This window comes from Homo sapiens, chromosome 12, assembly GCF_000001405.40.
Source record: "Homo sapiens chromosome 12, GRCh38.p14 Primary Assembly".
Lineage (NCBI taxonomy): Eukaryota > Metazoa > Chordata > Mammalia > Primates > Hominidae > Homo > Homo sapiens.
The window spans coordinates 79,584,313-79,605,649 of NC_000012.12; the positions used below are offsets into that span (position 1 = coordinate 79,584,313).

Sequence of the window (21,337 nt, forward strand, 5' to 3'; positions counted from 1 at the left end):
AAAAATACCTGCCCAGAACTAAAAACTGTCAAGGGCATCAAAAACAAGGAAAATCTAAGAAACTGTCACAGCCAAGAGAATTTTATGGAGACACAGGTACTAAATATAATGTAGTATCCTGGACTGGACACTGGAAAAGAGAAAGGACATTAGGGGAAAATTTAGGAAATCTGAATCAAGTATGGACTTTAATAATCGTGCATAAATATTGGACGATTAACTGTGATAAATGCACAGTATTAATGTATGATGTTAGTAGGAGAAACTTGGTGTGGTGGCATATGAGAACCCTCTGTACTATCTTCACAATAACTTTATAAATCTAAAACTGTTCTCAAGTTTGTAAAAAGTAAACAGGAGTAGCTTATTTATTTATATAAAAAATGATCTTGAATCGATAAAGAGTCAATTTTATCTTTACTCATCAGGATGCAACACTGTGATTTCTCCACACTGATCAATTAGCTCAAAAGTGCTATTCATTTTCTGAGCTCACAGAAAGTATATTTTGAAGATTCAGGCTCCTCAGGGACCACCCATACAAAACACATACAAAACAAATTGTATAACTGATGAAACATACATTTATTTTTTCCAATCAAGTCTTAAAAGTTTGATGAAAGCGCATTATTGTTACCAAAAGTCTTCAGGCAATAACAGAGATAAAACTTAACACAGACAAACAATGATTTTATTCCATAGTCTCTTGGACTTGAGAATCCATTTGAGTTTCAGAAAGAATACTAAATTAATGGGGGTTATGTCAGGATGCCAATGTCCATGCTGAGGCTTCTCCTGATACAATCTTTTGCAACATAACCAACAAAGATCAGGAGCTTAAAACAAAACAAAACAAAAACAAACAAAAAACAAGTTCATGTTATTTCTACAATGTCCAAAAAGAAAGACCAAGATCTTTGCTTAAAAATAGAAATGCATACTGCAGTGGCTCAAAAACTTAGGCCTGCATCAAAATTACATGAAGCGCTTGTTAAAACAGATTGAGCCCCATCTGCAAAGTTTGTGACTCAAGTGTTGGGTGGGGCCAAATAATTTGTATTTCTAACAGGTTTCTAAGTGAAGTCAATGCTACTGGTGTCAGAAACACACTTTAAGAACCACTGGCAAAACATTTAATAAGACAATTCCATGATAAAAGTATATCATAACATAAAACCACAAAACTTTGGACTCAAAGACTAGCTTTGTGATACAATGTCACCTTACCAATCTGTACACTCCACAAGTTTTTAAAAATTAAACAATATATAAAGCACCTAACACAGCCTGGCACATACGGCTACTGAATTACTAATGAATGTTATTATGCTATCATAAGTTATGGTTAAAGTTATGCTCAAATTGTTACCTGAGATGCTTTGCTTCATTGAAACTATATTGATTATTTTTATTTTTGAGGTAGAGTCTTGCTCTGTCACCCAGGCTGGAGTGCAGTGGTGTGATCTTGGCTCACTGCAGTCTCGACCTCCCAGGCTCAAGCAATCCTTCCCCCTCAGCCTACCAAGCAGCTGGGACTACAGGTGCATGCCATCTTGCCCAGCTCATTTATTTTTTTGTATAGACGGCATAACCCTGTGTTACCCCGTTGGTATTACAGGCATGAGCCACTGCACCTAGCCAGGCATATTGGTTTTAAAAGGGTTACAAGAAACAAGATGCACTTTTAGGCCTCCTATAATCCTGCATTTCCAAAGCATCCATTTAGTCATCTCATCAAAATTTTCATTGATTTAAATAAGTTAATATGAACAGACTGACATAATTTTACTTTAATGATGTTGTTTATTGTCCTAAGCCATCCATACACAAAACGTTTAATGTGTTATGGAAGGCTAACAGTTTTTCAGCTTTTCTCAATACTTTCAGCCATCCATACATAAAATGTTTAATGTGTTATGGAAGGCTAACAGTTTTTCAACTTTTCTCAATACTATCAGATGAATGTATTCTTACCAATCATGATTTACGTTTTTCAAATGTGGATTTCTTAGGCCTTTGACTGATAGCTTTAGGCTTTTGCACTACACAAAGAAAAAGACACCTTTCTATTCATTTCTTAATAATTTGTTTCCATAAAGCTAAAATGTCCACTGATGACATAATCTACCTTTGGTTAATCACAGCAAATAGTTCACATTTTAAAGGAATGCAGATATTTGGATAGAAGCCTCTAACAATGTAAATATTGTGCATTTCAAGTTCCATAGTGTGTCTAACCAGGGATAGCAACTGATTATATGTGGATTAACAATAGTGAATAACTGAGCACATATTAACATGAATAACATACACAGCAGTCAAAACTTACTGTTTTTCATATGTGTAAAGTAAAAATTCAATCTATCTTTAACCGGCTCATACTGTTTTCATGTTGTTCAACTATTTGACACAAAAGGAGCTTTTTCCTTTCTTTAAAAGGATTTTGATTCAGTCATAACAGATTTTTGAAAGTGACAGTAAAATTATGCATTTGGTCCAGGATTAAGAGGGAAGTTTTGCTTGCTAGTGTCTATCTGGTTAGACATCAGAATAAAATGAATGGACTGTAAAGGATCTTATAACCAGTCTCTCTCTTTAATATGAAGGCCCAACATTACATAATTCTTTTTAAGAGTTGACCAGGAATGAAATGTAACCTCTTTTAAAGATGAAGAAAAACTGAAAAAATGAGATTAAGAAAATATGTGGGTAGTTTACAGCTGCTGATAGAATTGTGTGCACGCGTGCATGCATGCATAAACACAAAGTGAATCTAGAAGGGAAAAAATTGAGTTTGATGAAGTCTAAGATGAAAGGTTCCATTTCATGTAAGATTATGTGACCTTGGAAAAATTTACTGGCTTGCTAGTGGAATACGTCCTTATATAGGGACTTGAAGAGTTTATCTAAATAGACTGACTTAAGGATGCTTTTCCTCTTGTTAGACTTGTATGACATTACTGAGAAGATTTAGAGTTCTAGAAGTAGAGAAGACTGATTAGCTTGTGCCTGTGTATGAAGAATGACAAATTAAGACAAAAGGTTATGTAAACCATTTACTAAAAAAGTCTAAATTTTTATATTCCTAGGCCCCTACTTATCTTTTACAAACTTTGAAGGACCTGAAATTCTTTGGACACCATCAGATTTAGTTTATAAGAGTTCTGATTTTGAATCAAGAAATTATTCATGTAGTTTTAAAACACAATTAAAATTTTCAGTCAGGCTGAACTTTTGTGCACTTCCTCATTTATTCGAGAAACCCCACCACTAATGTATTTAGACCTTAATATGATGGCTTTGAGTCTTAAATCATTGTCCACCTAAAATAATATACCAAATAAAGATTTTTAAAGTGCTGCATATGGTTTCTGTAAGAGGTACATAATTAGATTACCAGCATTATCCTTTAGCTTCAAAAGTAAAACTCATAGTCAGGATTTTACTGATAGTACAGGAAGAAAAAAAATAACCACTGTTGAAAAATAAATGAAAAAAATTTTATTGAGTATTACTTTATACATGCAAATTGAAAGTGAATCTATATTAAGTTGACTATTCCACAATAAAAACCTATGAAATGGGAATGATCAAAGCTGTCTAACACAATACTAATGTGTTCAATAAATTATCCAGATGTTTTTCCACAAATATTTGGATTACCTGAATTAGCTGATTCTTCAGCAAAAGTTAAATTTTAGCTTTAATATGGTAGCAGCAGGATGCTACTTAAATTTAGAAGAAAAACATAAGAATAAAAACCCTGAATAGCATAGCCAAATCTTCCAAGAAATAAGTTCACCAAAAAAGTAGCATACACCTATTTGGTATCCAGAGGAGGAAACAAAACACAGGCACTTAATCAACATCCACCAAGTGATCATCACTAACATTCTATTATTACCAGAGTAACTGTCGATATGTGAACTGTAGATTAGAACAGACTTACATATCTAAAAACAAACCAGTAATCAATAATATATACAGAAATACTAACTTGAAGTCACATTTAAATACCATCAACAGTTTGGTGTATCTGATATAACTGAATTCATTTCATCACTGCTATAAATTCCTTAAAAGTGTTCTTTTCCTAATTAACATTATCTTTAAAAAATGGTAGATATTTCCCAGTATGCATCAGTTTTTTCACTCCACCATTCAGTAAATGTTGTAGCAAATTAAATAGAACCTATTAACTAGATCTAAAAACAGTGGCTGAATACTTAACACAAAGAAGTACTTTTGAGTAAACTATTCAGATTAGACAGGCTAATGCTAAGACTGCATTTTGTGCTACTGACATGCACTATATAGATCGTACACTACTAGATGGAAAGTTGGTCCATGTCCATTTATTTAAAGATTCTGTAACACCTGTAATAGTATTTAATACAGCTCCCACATACTATATTCCTCTCACATAGACATAGTTATTTTTAGTGGGGATAAGGATATGACTTTAACATGCTATGAGATTCTAGCTAAGTAAAATAAAAACAATATGGACTCAGATTTTCTTAGGAGATATTAGTTCAAGTTTTTAAACTGGGAAACAATCAACTTCCATATATCCAGGAGAAACTTAGCATGGGGGGAGGTGCCTTAGTTGATGTGCCTGATAAGCAAACTGTTAGTTGTCTATTAGTATTATGTTTTCGGCTTAATGTAACAACAAAAGAAAGTTGTCACACTACCTCTCAGATAATATCAATTACAATCTTAGAGACTGTAATTGGGAATACAATCCTATAACAAGTTATTAACAATATCATGAATAGTTATTAAGTAAGTGCCAGCACTACATGCAACTTACTGGTCACCAACTCAGAACCCATAAAACTATACACATATGCACAAAAAAAAAACTCCAAAGAAAGATACCTATCACTGTACATATGAATACTGTCCAGGATATCAGATCAATTATCAAATCCAAGGTCTCTGCTGTTTTGTCTTACAGTGTTGAATATATGAATGCTTCTCTATTACACTGACTTGTACTATTTTCAAGAAATTAAGTGGATTCAAAATCTTACATTTTTATTTCTAATTATAAAATCCAGATTAATCCAAAAAACACAAACCACATGTAACCGAGGTAGGTTTTTCACCTTAAGAATACATTGCTTCTACCACAATTAAAAATTTTTTAAACTGAAGAAAAAAAAAAACTACATTGCTCCACATACCTGATACTTAATTTTCTATGTTTGAAACTACTTGAACAAGTGTGACAGTGCTAATCTACTATATTTAGTAAATCCCTTAGTACCTATAAATACACACCCAAAAGCCCTTCCCTCCTTCTCTAATGGTAACTGTTGTATAATAAAATTGTCAACAACTCTAGAAAGATGAAATAAAGATTACTATAGCAATCTTCAATTAATTCATTTCAGAAATCAAGGAGGCAAGTCATGTTCATTTTAAAGATGACAAACTTACTATTTTGAAAATGAGCTCATAAATACATTAGAACTTTGAATGTGCTTTATTATGCCACAAATTCCCAGGAGATTTAAGAAATAGTATTTCTGAACAGGAATAATAATTTCACAAATACTAACACTTTATTGACAATAGACAAGTCTTTTAGGGTAGTGCACATGTACTTAAAAACTACCTTCTACCAATCTCAACACTTTTTATAAATTTTCAGGTGAAACTGTAGCAGATCCTACTTTATTTTTCAATGGTTAGTGTAAAATTCTGTATGTAAAATAAGTACATATTTTGAGATGGAAGAAGGACTGCATGTGAAATGCTTTGCCTAAGTTGTAAGGCTCCTGTCTTTACGCTATCATTAAAGGCCAAAAAAATCACTGCTAGAAATGTTCCCCAAAAAATTCTTAAACAGCTCAGTCTTTAAAAGTATTAATAATTTTTTTTTTTTTTTTTTTGGAGACAGAGTTTCGCTCTTCTTGCCCAGGCTGGAGTACAATGGCGCAATCTCAGCTCACCGCAACCTCTGTCTCCTGGGTTTTCAAGCGATTCTCCTGCCTCAGCCTCCTGAGTAGCCAGGATTACAGGCATGCGCCACCACACCTGGCTAATTTTGTATTTTTAGTAGAGACGGGGTTTCTCCATGTTGGTCAAGCTGGTCTCAAACTCCCGAACTCTGGTAATCCACCCGCCTTGGCCTCCCAAAGTGCTGGGATTACAGGCATGAGCCACTGCACCCAGCCTAATAACTGATATAATTTTTTTAAGTGAAATGAAATGTTCCTTTATTTACATATGAATTAAATAGAAAATTCAAAGTAATTCTTTTAATAAAAACCCATATACTAATATATTTTAAGGTTGGATACTAACAGCATTTTCACAAGATCCAAAGTGTGGATGACGAACTAGGCAATAAGGACATGTGTGCCACATAACTAAGGGTAACTAAAGGAAGATGAGTACCTCACAACCAAAAGCAGTTAACTATGCCTGGCATACCACCCTGTCATGTGGGCAGATCACTGTTCCCATGCTGGGTAAGAGTCTCCAAGAAGGGAAGCCCTTATGCAGTAATTCTGTAACTATATTAAATTTGGTAATCTAACATTAAACTTTTTCGTGAGCAGTGAATATACACATGGTCATATGAAAACTGCCCTGGAGACCGGGTTAATTATTAAATAAACTAAAAGGGGAGAAATGCTGATAGATAAAATTATGTCAATTCCAGGGTGTTCAATGGAATAAAGAAACAGCAGCAGCTGCTTCAAAAGTAGACTATGATCAGAAACCTCAGATGGTAACCTTTAAAAATTGTGGAATCCAGAGTCTCAACCTAAACCTACATAGGAGCTACAGCCAGGGAGTTCTTTCTAAGTTCCTCAAGTGATTCTGATGATTGGCCAAGCTGGAAACTTCTGAACTGGGGGAGAAAGCCAACCTAGGTAAATGTAGAGACTTTTAGAATTCAACATTTGATTATCATTTACTCCACATTTTCCCCCAGCTGTCTCACCTTCTCTATTTTTCTAACAGTGAACAATAAAAGGGCTTGGCAAGTGAAGGAAAAAGTCAGTAGAGTACCTAAAATGGATTTGACTATATTCAAGCCACTTTCATATATTAACTAGATAAAAGGATACCATACTGCTATTTGAAATTCAATCACAAAGCAAAAATGTCATAATTTTAATGTATTTTAAGGGAAGACGGGGTTCTTAACATGAATATGTAATACAAAAACAATTCTAAATAATAATATTTAATAGAAGAAAAAATCTGTATAATTATTTAGAAGTAACTCTGTTTTTAAAATTTCAATGTTAGGAAGAAAATCCCTTAAATTTGAAATAGCGGAATATTCTCTCATATGAAAAAACTGTGTCCCAGTGTTATTCTTCAACTTAGAAATTAGGCAAAGTATTTTAGTACTATTTCTGCTTACATATTGTTTTGTATGAATGTTTTAAGTATGAATAATATTTTGGTTTTTAGTGTGCATGCTAATATAAAAATATGGATTTTTTTCTCCTACACTGACTTTGTACACTTTCCAGGCCCGAAGAATAAAAAACTTTTAAAATATCCTGTGTTCACTAGCAAACCTTGGAACGATAAAAAAAGGTAGTACCTACATAAGAAATTTTACATTGAAATTACAATTGTATGTTTTTCAGGAGTTAAAGTGATTCAATTTTTCAATATTCAAACACAAAATAGTAAATTTTTATTTACTATAGCACAATTCAAGTATTCTCTTAAATTTATATTTAGTCAACTAAAACATGACAGTGACTTTATAAGAGCTTTCCTTTTAAAAGGTTGCTGTTATAAAAAAGTATGACTCTATTACTCTAAATGCTTAGAATAAGTGGAAAGAACAAATGACAGTAGACAAAAACCTTTATGAGTGAGTCATCAACACATAAAAGGTTGCACACATCAGTAATAGGACATGTGAAGGTAACATCCCAAAAGTATTTGAACTCATGTAAACAAAGACTATGTATATTCCTAAGGGAGAAAATGTACTACCAAGATAAAATATATTCAAACGGCTGTGACTTTAAACCATGTATTAGTTGAATACCACACAAAACCAAAAAGGCATTATCTATCATTTAATAACTGAAAGATATTACTTATTTGTGAGATAAAAGGATAATGCTTTTTTAAAACCAATAATGAAAAAGAAGTATTTTGAAAACAAACATCTGTTTGCTAGAAATAAATATACTTGCTTAGTTATTTTAATGTATTGCAGCATAGGAATATTGTGCTAGCATTGACCATTAACATTCAATCAGTAGTTTAAAATATTTTTTCCACATTGAGTCTTGAATCCTCTACCTGGTCAGCTGACCCACAACTTTCAAAAGAGTTTTATTTTCCTGCTTTAGCTGTTCATTTTCATCTTCTATGTCATCTAGGTCCTTAAGAAAAAAAAAAGACACTTTAAAAATACTTAAAAATATTTGAGGAGAGATGAAAACACTTAATACACATTAAAAATAATTCATACAACCAATTAATTTTGAAATGAGGGCAAGCTCTGAAAACAACTTTAGATGTAATATGCCCCACCAAAAAAGAGCATCCATTACTTGACTCTTCGTTCTTACAACAAGTGTATAGGCCAACTCTTACAGATCTTTCAGTTTTTCAAAGGAAGCCGAAAGTCAGAATTTTAAAATTGTGAATCTTCCAATTTTCAATCATCATAAATAAGTTAGTTTTTTAGCTAAACAAACTCCACTTCCCCTCCCTAAAACTGAGGCAAAAAAAAAAACTACCCATGCAAGCCATATATGGTATTGAGCCCTAGGTTGCAACCTTGTGTCAAATTAGTCATCAAAAGGTGCAGGTACAAGTTCTAGATGCACTCCTACCACTGTCTGATCTTTAAAGGTGTACAATGGGGATAACACTCTGGAGAGGTGACAAAACTGAGGCCTACGGAAAAGGGGATCTGGAGTATCTTGATCTGGATCAATTTTGTTTTCAGCTCCAGATCAATTTGTATGTTGGACTTTTCTACGACATTTTGAAGGAAAGGTTTTAGAGCTAAAATTAATTCAAAGCCACTAAATTAAGTATTCGCTCTCCAGCTTTAAAAGCATATGATCCAGCTCTTTTTTCCCTGTATTAATCCTTGTCCCAAACACACAACCATCTGGTTAAAACAAATTCACCATAAGTTTTAGTTACAAGAAACATTATTTCAAGACAGACTCTTTACTGTTAAAAAAGCAGACATTTATAGATTTATTCTTGCAGTTTAAAATAATAAATCTTGATGTAATCAATTTGAATCACTTGAACCCGGGGGGTGGAGGTTGCAGTGAGCTGAGATCGCGCCACTGAACTCCAGCCTGGGCAACAGAGAGAGACTCCTTCTCAAAAAATAATAATAATAATAATAAAGAGTACCAATTTTAGGGTTTTTTTTTTTTTTTTTTGAGACAGAGTCTTACTCTTGCTGCCCAGGCTGGAGTGCAGCAGCGCAATCTTGGCTCACTGCAACCTCCGCCTCCTGGGATCAAGCAATTCTCCTGCCTCAACCTTCTGAGTAGCTGAGATTACAGGTGCCCACCACCATGCCCAGCTAATTTTTCATATTTTTAGTAGAGTCGGGGTTTTACCATGTTGGCCAGGCTGGTCTCGAACTCCTGACTTCACGTGATCCGCCCTCCTCGGCCTCCCAAAGTGCTGAGATTACAGGTGTGAGCCACAGCGCCTGGCCAATTTTAGATATTTCTTGAGGCAACTCTGTGCCAGTGCCCTTACATATGGTAGTGACAAAGCGCCTGTCACCCTCAGATTTTAACAAAACAGAGAACAAATCCATAAATCAGTCTATCTCCAAAAGAATAAAATTAAGTGAGCTAAACTGATAACTGCCCAAAGGAAATCAGTTTTTGGAAGAAAATGATACCTCTTACTAATTATTATTTCACTAACAAAAGAACAAAGTGAATAATGCAATTAATAATTTCTTCATATTTATATATTTTCATCCAATTGCCAAAAAAAACCCCTCCAAACCTGAAATATGGTGAAATACTTACTCTATTTAATAAATCAATTTCTTCTTTGAGTTTTCCAATCATTTCCTCTTTATCTTGCATCAGTCTCACAAGTCTTAGGTTTTCTTGTCTTTCTCTTACTACTTCCTGGTAGATACAATTAAAAACCAGTAATTAGGAAGTAATTGTTTATTTATAATCTTCCTAAGTGGCATATATCTCCCCAATTTGGTAAAATATCTTACATACATGAAGATTTCCAATGAATCCCTTAAGACATTTGGTGAAGGAACAAAGATCCCACCACAAAAGGAATCAGAGAATGCACAGGAGATATTAGGATGCTCCTGAGTAAAGCTATGTTTATACAAGTCTTTAACAAAACTAATGTAATAGACTCAATGATTTAACCTCGTGTGTGTGTGTGTGTGTGTGTGTGTGTATGTATGTATGGCAGTGTTTCACTCTTGTCACCCAGGCTGGAGTGCAATGGCACCTTGGCTCACTGCAACCTCCACCTCCTGGGTTCAAGCGATTCTCCTGCCTCAGCCTCCCAAGTAGCTGGAATTACAGGTGCATGCCACCATGCCTGGGTAATTTTCATATTTTTAGTACAGATGGGGCTTTGCCATGTTGCCCAGGCTGGTCTCGAACTCCTGACCTCAAGTGATCTGCCCGCCTCAGCCTACCAAAGTGCTGGGATTACAAGCGTGAGCCACTGTGCCCGGCCTGTGATTTAACTTATTTAGCTTATCACCACTATAAGTTATGAACTACCTTATTTTTTAATGGGTATCTTGTTTGAAATAATTCAAAATTAATTTTTCTTAAAAATACAAAGTTTAAAGGAGATGGCCCAATAGAAACTCTAAACAGAAAAACAATGGTCCTCAGTTTTACTTCTGGCTCTGCCAGTTAACTGATAATGGATAAAAAGAAGGAACTAAAATAGATTACTGATTTTTAATTTTTTTTTTCTTTAAACAATGCAACATCTTTTTCAAAGACATCTTATTTAGAATCCAGGGCACTGGGCTTGGTCAGCCACCTTGGGGGCAAAAGGGAAGCAGAGCTCAAAAGGCCTTGCCCAGAACTTGGCTTCTTTCTTACTAAACCTCCTACAGAGCAATCAACCATCCATATCCCTTAGCTGCTGCCAACTACTAGCAATTCAATCCAAACTCTTGTGGAACTCACGAAGCCTTTCTGGGCAACTATCTTCAAAACTATTAGATTACATATTGTCTAAACTTTTTAATTTAAAATTATGAAATAATAGGCTGGGCACAGTGGCTCACGCCTGTAATTCCAGCACTTTAGGAAGCCGAGGCGGGTGGATCACCTGAGGTTAGGAATTCAAGACCAGCCTGACCAACATGGTGAAACCCCTTCTCTACTAAAAATACAAAAAAAGAATTAGCCGGGCTTGGTGGTGCATGCCTGTAATCCCAGTTACTTGGAAGGCTGAGGCAGAAGAAACACTTGAACCTGGGAAGTGGAGGTTGCAGTGAGCCGATACTGAGCCATTGTACTCCAGCTTAGGCAACAAGAGCGAAACTCTGTCTCAAAACTAAATAAATAAATAAAAATAAATAAAACTATGAAATAATAATTCCAAGAAGAAACTGTTGTTAAAGCTTAGAAATGTGACCTCAAAAAATCATAAATGTTATAAAATAGAAACAAGTTTTAAAAATGAAATTTCTTTACATAACATATATAAATTAGATCTTTAATAATATAGAGAATAATCTCAAGTAAAACAAAACACATTTTCAACAATTACAAAAGTATTCAACACCATTGCTAATTTTAGGGGTTGAATGTCTATGGCACAAACCTGAGACCCTATGGTTAATAAATTTATGCCAAGAGTCATCTGACTTGCACTGAAAGACACTTTTAAACAGGCATATTCTTAGACAAAATTGTTTCAAACACCAAAGATGGACCTAACTCAGATTTACTCCTGTAATTTGTAAAGTTACAAATGAAAATCTATTCAGACAATATAATAAATACACAGTAGTATATATTTGCCAGCTCAGACTTCTAACCACTTCAAAAACAAGGGCTTTTAATATACTAAAGGTAACAGTTGGCAGAAAAGCGCACATATTAAATATTAAGGAATATTATTTCCTTTCTCACTCAGTTGCTATGAAACAAAAGAATTCTAATGGTATATTAATTTTATCAATCTTAAATAACTTATAATCCATACCTTTTCAAGATCTTCAATTTTCTTTTCCAGTGTGCTACTTGAAACCAGAGTACCTGAAACATTTGCATCCCTGTTATATCTAGGGAACCCACTTCTATCTGTTCGAGAATATCTACTTGAGACATCTTCTTCAGAGACACTGGTTGTGCTGTGGAAATATAAACATTTTATTAAAATCCCTAGTATTCAGCAAGAAAAATGCCAAGAATATTTTCTATTGAGCTTAAAAAAATTAACATTCCCCAAGGACATATGGTTATAGTAGCAACTTATTTGTAACTGTAGAAGTTAATCATTATTCCCACACAATGAAAAAAATGTAAAAGTACCATTAATTCTTTCGACCAATATCTACTGAATAGGTGTTAAGTAACGAACACTGTTCTGGATACTGAAGACGTAACAGCAAACACAAACATGGACTCTGCCCTTCATAGAGCTTTTGGTTAAAAGGGAATATAACTAATAATAAAGCAAGATGATCAGTAAAATAAGGTCAGTGATGGATACTATGAGAACTACGATAGGACAGATCTCCCAGATTATCTTTTTTTTTTTTTTTTTTGAGATGGGGTCTCACTCTTGTCACCCAGACTGGAGTGCAGTGGTGCAATCACAGCTCACTGTGGCTTCGGCTTCCTGGGCTCAAGAGATCCTCCCACCTCAGCTTCCTGAGTAGCTGGGACTACACGTATGTGGCCACCACACCGGGCAAATTATTTTGTATTTCTTTTTTCAGAGACGGGGTTTCACCATGTTGCCCAGGCTGGTCTCAAACTCTTGGGCTCAAGCGATCCACCCACCTCGGCCTCCCAAAGTGCTAGGATTACAGATGTGAGCATTGTGCCTGGCCTAGATCGCCCAGACTATGTGTGGTGAAAAACCACTTTCCTTCTTCAAAATTACAATCTTTCATGGACCAACACTTTTAAAAAGTAAAATTAAAATGAACTGCTGGAAAAATAAAAGTTAAAAAGGTCATACAAAATACAAGTCCAAATGTTTTATTAGATTCAGACCCATAAAATTATAAATAGAAAAAAAGAAAAGAGTTACATCAGTGGCAAATTCTCCACTATAAGTATGCATACAGGCAATCAATACAGAAAATTGCTACCATATTGATAATTTTGTTATGCCATAATTCTAACTTAATCAAAAGTTGTAAGTAAAACAGCAATTCCTTAAACACCAGTTCATACCCTCTGAACAGCACATATGTCAGTATTTAAAGTTTTTAATGTAACAAATGAGTTTGCTTCTTGTTTCCTGTATTATTCTATTAAAAATTACCCCCAAACTTACACACAATTCTTATCTCAAAGTTTCCGTTGGTCAGGAATTTAGAAGCAGCTTAGGTGGGTGATTATGATTCGGGGCTTCTCATGAGTTTTTAATCAAGATGTTGGTTGGGGCTTCAGTCATCTGAAGGCTTAACTGGGCTGGAGAATCTGCTTCTAGGCTCACTCACATGACTGATGACAACAGCCTCAGTTCCTCACTATGTTGGCCTCTCCACTGGCCTGTTCACCACATGGCAGCTGGCTTCCAGAGACAAACTGACAGAGCAACTGAGACAGAAGCTGCAGTGTCGGTCATAACGCAACCTCAAAAGTGACATACTATCACACTGACCTTATTCTATTGTTCACACATATCAACTTGGTATGTTGTGTGAGAGGATTATACACAGTGCAAACATCAGGAGGTAGGGTTCACTGGGGGCTATCTTGAAAGCCAGTTACTACATTTGTTAATCTAGGTTGGACCGAGGACAATGCTACTCAACAAGGGATAATGTATATCTAAACTATTTCTGTGTTTTGTTTTAATAGCAATCAGAGAAAACAGTCTCAAAGGACAGAAATAGCAGTGATTTTAATGCAATTTCAACAAGCTCGGACATTCATTTTTAAAAACTTTTGTCAAAAATGTAGAAAATTTGCTTTTCAAAATTTGTTTTCAATCCTTCACTGACTGGTATCCATTTCCAATAATTTATCCAGCAAATTTACAGTTAAATCGAAAGTGACTTCTCGTTTTAAAAATTGATTCCTCATCTATGAATTTCTTACCTATGAATTTTCTTGTGATAGAAAATAAAAGTGTCCTATCAAATTTGTAAGGTATTTGATTGTAACCTTTTCAAATGTGCAATACCAAGATCACCATCTACTTTACTGATAGTTGTTACTATATCGTAGAACCCTTTATAACCAGCTAAGGTAACTTTCTCCTCAAAAATCCAACTTTCATTTTTGTCACCTGATCTTATCTGCCATTGAAAAGCCTTCTGGCTCACTGCAACCTCCGCCTCCTGGGTTCAAGCGATCCTCCTGCCTCAGCCTCCTGAGTAGCTGGGATTACAGGCGCCTGCCACCATGCCCGGCTAATTTTTGTATTTTTAGTAGAGACAGGGTTTCACCATGTTGGCCAGGCTGGCCTTGAGCTCCTGACCTCGTGATCCACCTGCCCCGGCCTCCCAAAGTGCAGGGATTACAGGCATGAGCCACTGCGCCCGGCCAACTGACATTCCTTCTTTGCATGGAAAGCTAAGATCACTTAAAAAATAAAGAATAAGGCCATCAGACAAAAAGCTAACTCACATATTTGAAAAGCTGGGGACCAAACTGGTTTCTTGTCTTGCAAAAACACCAAGAGTTCATCCCAAAATTCAAATACTCTTGACTGAAAAGGTCAGTTTGAAGACCAATGTACACCCTAGCATCTGATAACAGCTGATCAGCTAACTCCCAAACTACAGTATCTAATTTTTTAGAAACCTCAAATGTAATGAATTAGTGTTTAATAATAAATTCACACTTTTAGTGTACTATACTGTGAATTCAGCTGATATAGCAAGAACACTGTTTAGTTCAGCTGGCAAAGCAAGACTTTCTCAATGAAAGAAGCAGGACACCGATTTACATTCTGGTACAAGCTTCAGTATGTTTTTCTTATTACTGTGCCTGCATAATTAGAATATATTCCTATAAAAGTAAAGCAAAACTCCAAACCACATTTGTTGATACTGTAACCCTTTGCAAGTGTTATATAGTTCAGAGCAAGCTGTATGTCAGCAATGAAGCTGAAAAATAAATTGTTACTTCCTATGTTAGCAAAACCAATGTGTTCATCAAATTGTAACAAAAATTCCTTTGCAGGATCTTATTTGTCTGAGAGTTAGTCTTCGTATCACTGTCCTGTCCCTAAACACATCAAGCTATCATGGTGTTGCTGGAAAGTGGTATGTGAACTATCTTCTTTACTACAGATTCATCCAACATTTCCAAGCAAACATGTTTTGTCTTGTCATTTGTATGCAGTTTTTTTTAATGTTAGCAACCTCAAGTCAGACTATCAGAAACCCCAAAAATACTAGTGATCACATGTGAAATCCTGAACATCTGCTCCGGTCATCTTTGTAATATTCTTTCAAATAATGAATTTGGTTTTGAACATATTTGATGAATTCATTTTGTACATGTCATGCCTGCAACTACCAATTAAATTTTGATCATTTTATATTGTTTAAATAGCCAGTGTATCTCCAAACAACCCACTTTGGTTTTGGTTTTAGCACTTCGCCCATCAATTATGGCTAAAAACTAAACATAGGACACATAATACTTTCCAAGAAAACTAGTACAAATTCTTTTGATCTGTATCTCTTTGAAATTACTTCCATTGTCATCATTTGGTTTACTACTGCTATCGCACTCAAAAAAGTGTATCTTTGCTTGTCAAAAAAGTCCAGTAAAGTTTGTTTTGTCATCAGTAAATCTGACTTATAAATAATACAAATTTTGCTTCCAGGATTTAAATAATACTTGTAAAACATAAAATTCTAAAGAATGAAAAAGATTTTTACATTTTAAAATTACTATATATTTTTAAATTATTTATGGGACGAGAAGAAGTGTGATTAAAATTAACGAGATTTTAAAAATAAATGCTTTGCTTTTTTGGGGGGGCGGGGGGAGATAGGGTCTTGCACTGTCACCCAGGCTGATGTACAGAGGTGCCACCATGGCTCACTGCAGCCTTGAAACCTCAAAACTCCTAGGCTCAAGTGATCCTTCCACCTTAGCCTACCAAGTAGCTGGGACTACAGGCATATGCCACCACCATACCTGGCTTTTTTTTTTTTTTTTTTTTTTGTAGAGACGTGTCTTACTATGTTGACCAGGCTGGTCTCAAACTCCTGGCTTCAAGCTATCCTCCTGCCTTGGTCTTGGGATTACAGGCATAAGCCAGCCACATTTTACTTAATTCTTACACATTTTTGGGTTACAAATGACTAACTTCAAAATATCACACATTGTAACAGCCCTGCTGGGCATGATTAGCATGCAACTTGCCACGGCACTTGAACTACTCTATATCCTGTTCGCAGAGTAATCCACTGATCATGCACTTGGATGTGATGATGACAAGTCAAAATGCAATTCAAGTTTCTAAATGCTTATTCTCAAGTTCTTTTCTTGTCTTGGATTGACAACAAACAGTTCAAGGACTACACTTTGGGTATCACTATGTTAGAGAAGGTTGAAACGTAAAAAGAAGGACAAGAATGTGCAAAAACCTATAAATTGTGGCCCATTTGAGAAACAGAAAACTCCAATATGGCTAAAGCATGGAGTGTAAACATAAGAGTAATAAAATATGAGGCTGAAAAAGCAAGCAGGAAACCTGAATTTTTTTTTTTTTTTTTTTTTTTTTTTAAGAGACAGGTTCTCACTCTGTGGCCCAGGCTGGAGTGCAGTGGACAATCATAGCTCACTGTAAATTCAAATTCCTGGGCCCAAGCAATCCTCCCCTCAGCCTCTGGAGTAGCTACATGTGCGACCATGCCCGCTAATTTATCTTAATTTTTTAGAAGTTAGGTCTTGCTATGTTGCCCAGGCCGGTCCTGAAGTCCTGGCCTCAAGCGATCTTCCTGCGTCAGCCACCCAAAGTGCTTGGAGTAGAAGTCTGAGCTACCACGCCTGGCCCTGAAAGCTATTTTATGGAAGAATTTAAACTAAAGATCTCCAAATATTATTCATAATTACATACCCATGTTGGTATCTATGTTTACTTATCTACCATTTTTATAGGATTTACAATATGACAATATAAAATAATCGTCTGTATCCCAAAAATAGAGCATAAGAAAAAGACTAAAATTTGTTTTATTTATGGTACAAAAGTTTGTTCTCACAAATATTTTAAATAAAATATTGAATATGCTTCATTATTTCTGAAGATCTTAACACCGTGTGATACAGAGATTCAAAGATCTAGTTCTAACATCAGTTTGAATATTTGATTTTTAATGGCTATCAAAGCAGAAAGGGATGCCTTACAAAAAAATGAGAATTTTTTAAAAAGTTTCACTTAAAACCTCAAAATCAGCGTAATTTTTCTTAATTCATGAGAACAGATTTGATTTTGTATATCTTACCAGCTGAACAACAATGTGATCTTATTTGCAGTTAAACACTTGATTTTCTCCACAAATTCCCTAATCCCAGACTTACATATTTTGTAATAGTTAAACTAGATAACTCATAAATCCGCATAGATGGACATTCAAATTATAGTATTGTGCAACATGCAGAAAGTGAACAAAGCATGCTTCCCTCAGGACACCTTTAGTACCAAATGACCATCTGACACATAGAGCAAAGAAGGAATGACTAAATAACTATTACACAGTAGTAGCTTTTAAATATTAATGCCTTAGTGTTTTTCAAATAAAAAGGTAAATATGAATAAAAGTTCCAATATTTTCCTCCTGCACCCTAGCAGATTATCTTATATATCACCCCCCTTTGGAGACCACTGATTCAGACTCCATTTAAAGGTAATGGTAAGCCATTAAAGCAGAGAAAGTAACAGTATCATTTTTATAAAATATATTGGGAGATGAGCTAAACGGAGACAGGGAGGCCAGTGTGGAGGCTATTGTAATCACCTATGTAAGAGATGATGGTGTCCTAGATTGGTGTGATGGCAATGAGATACTCAGAAGATAAACTCAACAAGGCTTGGTGAATGAATGGATAAGGGCAAGATGGGAAAAAAAAATAAGTGTCATAAATAATGTCCAGGCTACTGACTTCAGCAAAAGTAGATGCTGATGTCAACTACTGAAATCCATCAGGTTTCACAAGTTTACTTTTGAAAATGCTTAGTTTAGTTTGCTTAGCAGATATTTAATAGCTGTTGATTATACAGGTATGGAGCTACAGGCATATGCCACCATACCTGGCTAATTTTTTTTTTTTTTTTTTTGTAGAGACGTGTCACTATGTTGACCAGGCTGGTCTCAAACTCCTGGCTTCTGGATCTGGAGTCATCAGCATTATGTATAGATAATAAGTGAAGTCATCGGAGTGAATGAAATTTCTACCACAAATACACAAAACGAAAAGAGAATAAAGTCTAAGATTAACAGCTGAGTAGGCTGAGCACAGTGGCTCTCACCTGTAATCTCAGCACTTTGGGGGGCCAAGGCAGGAGGACTGCTTAGGTCCAGGAGTTCAAGACCAGTCTGGACAACATAATGAGACTCTGTCTCTATAAAATTAAAAAAATAAAAAATTAGTCAGGCATGGTGGCATGTTCCTGGAGTCCCAAGCACTTGGGACTTGGGAGGCTGTGGTAGGAGGATTGCTTGAGCCCAAGAGGTTGAGGCTGCAGTGAGCGATTACGCCACTGCACTCAGCCTGGGTGACATGGTGAAACCCTGTAAAAAGAAACAAAAACAAAAAAAATTGAGTAATACCAATACATGAAGAAGAGATACAGGAAAGAAACAACTACAAATAAGACTGGGAAATACCAGCAAAGTGGTAAAAAGAAAATCAACAGAGGAAGGTATCACTAAAGCCATACCATATTATAGAAGACCATTAGAAGCATTTTAAAGGACCCATTTTTCACAAAAAAAAAGAAGTCCAACTTTCTGCATCCATCCATGACTTTTTAGGTAGAAACTATAATGCTGACAGCTACAAACAAACCATCCAGAAATATGGATGTCCGTTAGTAATCGTGTATTTGCTTGATGAACATGTTTAAAACAATATTTCAAAAAAGTTTAACTTATTAACAATTTTTAAAACCTTCCATCTTAGACTTGTCAATACATAAACGGCATCATTATGCTATTTTTTTTTTTTTTTTTTTTTTTTTTGGAGACAGAGTTTCGCTCCTGTTGCCCAGGCTGGAGTGCAATGCCACTATTTTGGCTCACTGCAACCTCAGCCTGCAGTCAAGTGATTCTCCTGCCTCCGCCTCCCAAGTAGCTGGGATTACAGGCGCCCGCCACCACGCCCGGCTAATTTTTGTATTTTTAGTAGAGATGGGGTTTCCCCATGTTGACCAGGCTGGTCTCAAACTCCTGACCTCAGGTGATCCGCCCACCTCGGCCTTCCCAAAGTGCTGGGATTACAGGCATGAGCCACCACACCCGGCCTTCATTATGCAAATGCAAGGAATAGTGAAAAACAAAATCAGTGCTTCATTCCCAATATGTATTATGTTTTAGGGAATACTGTCATAATTGTGAAGAATTGTGTTACTTGATCTTATTGCCAAATTTAGCCATTTAACCTATTTTGAAAGCCAGATATGCACAGTGCAAAATACTCAGAATAAAAGATTGTTCATTAACTCCAAAAAGTTTTTAACATTTTACTTAGGAATGTTAACATAAATCTCTAATACGATCCAAAAAGAATCCTCCCTCCACTCTTAGCTACAAAGACATGAACTATAATGCTCAGAAAAGGGAAAAGAAACAGTATCATCAAAGATAAATGCCACCCCTTACTGGAAGTTTTCCCCCTCTGGGAATTTTCGCATCTTATGTAGAAACACCAGGGGGTGTTGTGTTGGGGAAAATTACACTATTATTCTAAAACTATCATGAGAATGAGATTGGCAGCATTAAGAGATTATAGCTAGAGGAATTTTCCACTAAAATAGACATTATAAAGCTTAGCAATGAGAAGAAATACAAGACTCAAGGGTAAATCCTACTTTTAGAATAAGTATCAAATATTCAGAAGTACAGGATATATTCTGAAATTCCCAAATAACCAACAACTACTTAACTGGCTTCCATCCTTTTAGTATCTTTCACTGCCCCATTCTCTTCACCCTCCAACACTCCCACTCCTCGTAACAGCTCCTTGCTCTGTGTAGGGTTTATCTCTCTTCCTTTAAATACAAACATACACATAAGCACATACACCAACAACTAAAAATCAAAATCAACTCCCATTATATTAAACTCTCATAACTCTTTATTAAAATTGATACATATTTATTATAGAAAACAGAAAATACAAATGAGTGTCATCAGTAATTCCACTAACCCAGAGATAATGTCCATTAACATTTTATAACATATTAGTAAATGTTTAGCCTTCTGGATCAGATTCCTTTTAAAAATCTTATGAAAAATATATATCTCCTCCCAGAAAAATAAACATTATCTTCTTTTACAAAGAATTCTGGCAGTTTATCACATGAATAGTTCTCAGATAATATTTTATATATACTTTTTGTATCATACTTTTTTGTAATATGTTCTCTCCTCCATTTTACATAAACAGGTAATAATTTTCTTATGTAATTATTTTTCTATAGCATCATTTTAATGGCTGCATTATAACTGTTTATAGCAATATATTATAGTTTTTAATCTATCTCGTTAAAAATTTAAGTTGTTGCAGTTAGGGAATATCATACATATTCATTTCTGGTATATTAAATATAGTGAATTATCCTAAAGAGATCAAATATATCTGGCTGCTCAAATTTCACCACCTGAGAGCTAGACAAGTCCAGAAAACACTCTCCAAATATAGTTTATTATATACAGTAGAAACAGCTAAAATTATACATTCCTCATTATCATCTTAACATGGGTGTCCTAAACAGCCAGGCATAGTACCCTGCACCTTTGAACTATTCAATATTTGACATATAATGTGTGTATATACAGATACATTCTTTTTTTTTTAAAAAAAAAGCCTTCAACTAAGCAATATGAAAAATTTCTGTGTAGTAAGAATAGGGGTCACACAAAAACTTGTACATGAATGTTCACAGCGTATTGCCTATTATATGTATAATATTTCAT

At 35.1% G+C, this 21,337-nt stretch overlaps 1 protein-coding gene across 6 annotated transcripts in view; it reads right to left on the bottom strand.

Moving 5' to 3' along the window:
• Positions 1-566: 566 nt before the first annotated feature.
• PAWR (pro-apoptotic WT1 regulator) overlaps positions 567-21,337 on the bottom strand; it is a 106,086-nt gene continuing 85,315 nt past the window's right edge. For 3 of the 6 annotated variants that reach the window (NM_002583.4, NM_001354732.2, XM_047428916.1), the window contains 3 exons: positions 12,199-12,346; positions 10,017-10,121; positions 567-8,381 (listed from right to left, as the gene is read on the bottom strand). In NM_002583.4, the coding sequence (NP_002574.2) occupies positions 8,295-8,381; positions 10,017-10,121; positions 12,199-12,346 (340 nt within the window). In that variant the 3' untranslated portion in view covers positions 567-8,294. Of the gene's footprint in view, positions 8,382-10,016; positions 10,122-12,198; positions 12,347-14,057; positions 18,932-19,867; positions 20,410-21,337 lie in introns of those variants that run through there. The other 3 variants (NM_001354733.2, XM_047428917.1, XM_047428918.1) reach the window with 2 other exon arrangements.